This window comes from Homo sapiens, chromosome 8 (assembly GCF_000001405.40).
Source record: "Homo sapiens chromosome 8, GRCh38.p14 Primary Assembly".
NCBI lineage: Eukaryota > Metazoa > Chordata > Mammalia > Primates > Hominidae > Homo > Homo sapiens.
This window is the reverse complement of record NC_000008.11, coordinates 90,212,266-90,215,986: the sequence shown is the minus strand read 5'-3', so window position 1 is coordinate 90,215,986 and position 3,721 is coordinate 90,212,266. Positions and strand designations below refer to the sequence as shown.

General features: G+C 35.8%; 1 annotated feature.

The window, feature by feature from the left end:
- Positions 220-859: an enhancer, noted in NCBI's record as "OCT4-NANOG hESC enhancer chr8:91227356-91227995 (GRCh37/hg19 assembly coordinates)". NCBI's record gives its function as "activates a minimal SCP1, AML or CMV promoter by ChIP-STARR-seq in naive and primed H9 embryonic stem cells {active_cell/tissue: H9 hESC(naive and primed)}" and the evidence as "EXISTENCE:reporter gene assay evidence [ECO:0000049][PMID:30033119]".

Genomic DNA, 3,721 nt, shown 5'->3' with positions numbered 1-3,721 from the left:
AAGGAAGTGACACAATTTTCCTGGAAATATGAGGATATACAAAATGTTTTCCTAAATTTTCTACCATCCCAAATCTTGATGTGGTTCTCCCACCACTCTGGGAATAAGACTAATCAGAGGTCAATAATTCAAGCCCCAAAGAAGCCCTCTCACACTGAAAGATGTCTCGCGGGTATCCAGTTAATATTAAAGTTTCAATAATAGAAACTGATTTATATCATTTTCAGAGATTCATACTGTGATGCAACTATTAGGTCATAATACACTATTTAAGTCATTAATAAATTAGCGTCCACTAACTTGTCAATTTGTATAGAAGAAATAAGTGAATTGAGGAGTGAGGGAGAATATTCAAAAGGAGAAACTCCCTCAGAATGGCAGACCATTATTAGAACATCTCAGTGGGAGAGCTTAGAAGTACTGATCCTAGGGCAAGGAAACACCTCAGACAGGAGAAGAAGGGACAGATGGCAGACAGAAAGGCACTGAGGACAAGTTTAAAATATTTGCATGAGAAAAAAAGTAGTCTTCCTAAAAGTCAGGACTATACTTTCAGTAGAAACTATTCATATGCTGAGCAATCACATAGCTCTTACAGGTGGCCCTTATTGGCAATAGCTGCCCACAAATCAGACTGAGGAAACCAGAAACTTTTATCTCATCTTTCTCACTGATGCAGGGAAAACAAAATCAGGAAAGCGTCACTCTCCTACCACTTGTAACTTCTATGCAATTTAATCAAAAACTAGCTGGTATCATCAAAACTGTGAAAACAGAAATATCAACATGTTTAAAGCAGATAAACTGCCCCTTCTTCCAGTTTCAACCTCAGAAAGCTAAGCCAGGATTTTCTATCTATGAGTGGGTATTTAAAGATACCTTGCTAAAGAGCTTAATAGTACTAAAGGCATATTGACTTAAAAATCTGAGGAGTTTTTCTCAAATGCTTAAAATAAATCTTCATATTTGTTTAGGTAGTCCTCTAAATAACCTCTGAAAATAAGTGACATTTTCCTCTGAACTTTCAAACAAAAGAAATTACAGAACCTAAATGTCTTTTGTTGTTGTTGTTTTATCAGAAGGCTAGCCCTAGACTCTATGACAACCATTGCGTATTTTTTCATTTGTTTGCCTTATCTCTCCCATTTCATCATAAACTCCTCAAGGACAGGAGCTGTTTCCTTTATAGCTCCCCAGAGTACACAGTGGACGCTCATTAAATGCTGTTGACTGACTGGCTATCTGACACACACGAACACAGAAGGAAAATAATTGACACCATTCTTACAGAAAAGGATTAAGGAGACATAAATTTGACATGTCACATTGTTGATACCTACCCTGTGTCATTCACAGATTAAGTAGGGTTTTGATCTTTAGGGTGGCTCCACAAATCCCAAATAGCATTCCTTTTAAAAAATCAGTTTGTCATGGCCAGTAAGCACTGGACTGACCTGGATAAGATGTGGCCAAATTTAGACCCCATAGATGGATCTGAATGTTGTTAAATATTTGATGTTTTGTTTCCAAATTTCAAAGGCAGGCACTTCACATTGAGACTTTTGCAGATGCTTTCCTCTCCTTACCCTTGTGAGCTGAGATGAATCTTCCTGTGGATTTATCTTGCCTTAGGCATTTTAGCATTATTGAAGTGGAATATGCATGTGTTGCTATGGTCAATATGTTCTGATTTAATAATCAGAACAACCAAGGCATATTTCTTTTCTATATCTTTTACTCTGTGGATGCCTCATGATTATGAATCATAATGATGAAGTTATATTTGATCATATTTATATCCATTTATATTTTGAAATGATGATGTCCATTTGTCTTTCTTATTCAGTGACGATAAAATAGTTGATTGAAAGCAAGTGTGTAAGAATGCTTAATTTGCATATTATCTCAATGCCATCAAGTTATTTCACTTTCCTCTCCAAGGATCCTCCCTTATGACAGGAAAGAGTTTGAGAGAAGTTCCTGCTGAGCAGCATTTCTGAATGAGAAGCCAATAATATCTACAAATAATCAGGTCATTTGAATCCTGCAAGAAAACCACTGTGGGACTATATCATCTAACAAGCATCTTAAATTCTGATTTACTATCCCTGTTCTGAAGGAATTCCAGCTCTTCAGAAAGACACTCTGTAAGAAAACAGAAATCTGATTCAGATGTGGGAGCTTCTTGCCAGGGATATCTTCAGTTGAACAGATAAGAGATTACATGTAAACTACCTTAAATCTCAAAGAAGACACAGCAAACTGTAACTTTCCTACTAGGATAAAAGATCTCTTTCACTTTTGAGACTGAAAAAAAATGACTTCTTTAACTGGTAAGAAACCCTCATGGGGGTTAAAGCCGTTGATATCAAGTGAAACTGTAATCTCTTTGCCTGTCTGTGGCAAGGAGAAATCAGCAGGAATTCAGAGAGAATTTCAGGTCTTTCTGGAGAGTAAGAAGGCTGAAAGAGAAATCCCAAGCCCTCTTTTATTTGCATCTATTAGCCTCCTAATGAATAGCCCATACGGGAGTGAAGAAAAGGAGTATTCCTTCTTTCTCAAACAAATATTGTCAGGCACAGTGCTAAGTGCTCAAGTTTCAATGGTGAACAAGACACTCTGATCTCTGCCTGCACAGGGCTTATATATGTGTTAGAAGGGAAGATGGACTTCAAGGATGCTTTTATCAAATAGCCTCCTCTGTGAGATCCAATAAGTCTTGATGGGGAAAAAAAAATGATTAAGCTATGACCTGAAAGATGAGAAGCAAAGGGCCAAAACAGGAGAGAATAGTGTTTAAGAAGGGGTTATGGCCACAAAGTCAAAAAAGTTTAGAGGCCCTTTTTATATCAAACTAAGCTAACATTGGCCCTTCCTTGGAGGTACCTATCTTTCTTCTATCCAACATAACCTCATAAAGTATTCTAAGCACTTTATAAGACTAACTTATTTAAACTTCAAACAAACCTGTGACATAAGGACTATCTATAATGATTTTTCAGATGGGAAAATCAAGACAGAGGCTAAGCAACTTGCTCATAAGGTAGAGCAAGTCAAGGTAGAAACAGAGATTCAATCCTATGCTGTCTGCTTCTAAGTCTCTGCTCTTCATCACTATAGTAAACAATCTTTCTATCTACTTCCAAGATAAGATGGTTTGGTGAGTTTGAGCCCAGACCTAGAAATCAAGATTTGTTTGAGTAATGACTGAAAATAGTTAACAATGATAAATAAATTACCCAATTACACTTATTTTTAAAAGAAAGTTATACCATTGAATTCACTTTTAGATATTCTAGGTCCAAGTGCATAATAATATGTACATTCCACATATTAGCTTATTGAATTCTCAAGAAAACAACACTATGAGGTAGGCATTATCCTCGCTTTATGGATTTTAAAAATTGAGAATCAAAGAGATTAAGAAATCTCCCAGTGATTACACTTTTGTAAATAGTAGAACTGGGAGTCAAACCACATTGGCTTATACATTAAAATCTAGATTTTTTAAAAATTATAATGATTATAAACCCAAAAAAGTTTATGTAAGAATTAGACCTTCAAGAGTGACCATTGTATTTTATAGATTAAGATCTTTTAAAACTATCTATTAACTACAAAACCTGGCCCATCCTATTAAATTATAAATGTGATGCAAGCATTAGGAAACTCACCAGTATACCATTTTCCTACACACTGACTTCCACCCATGTCAGAATTC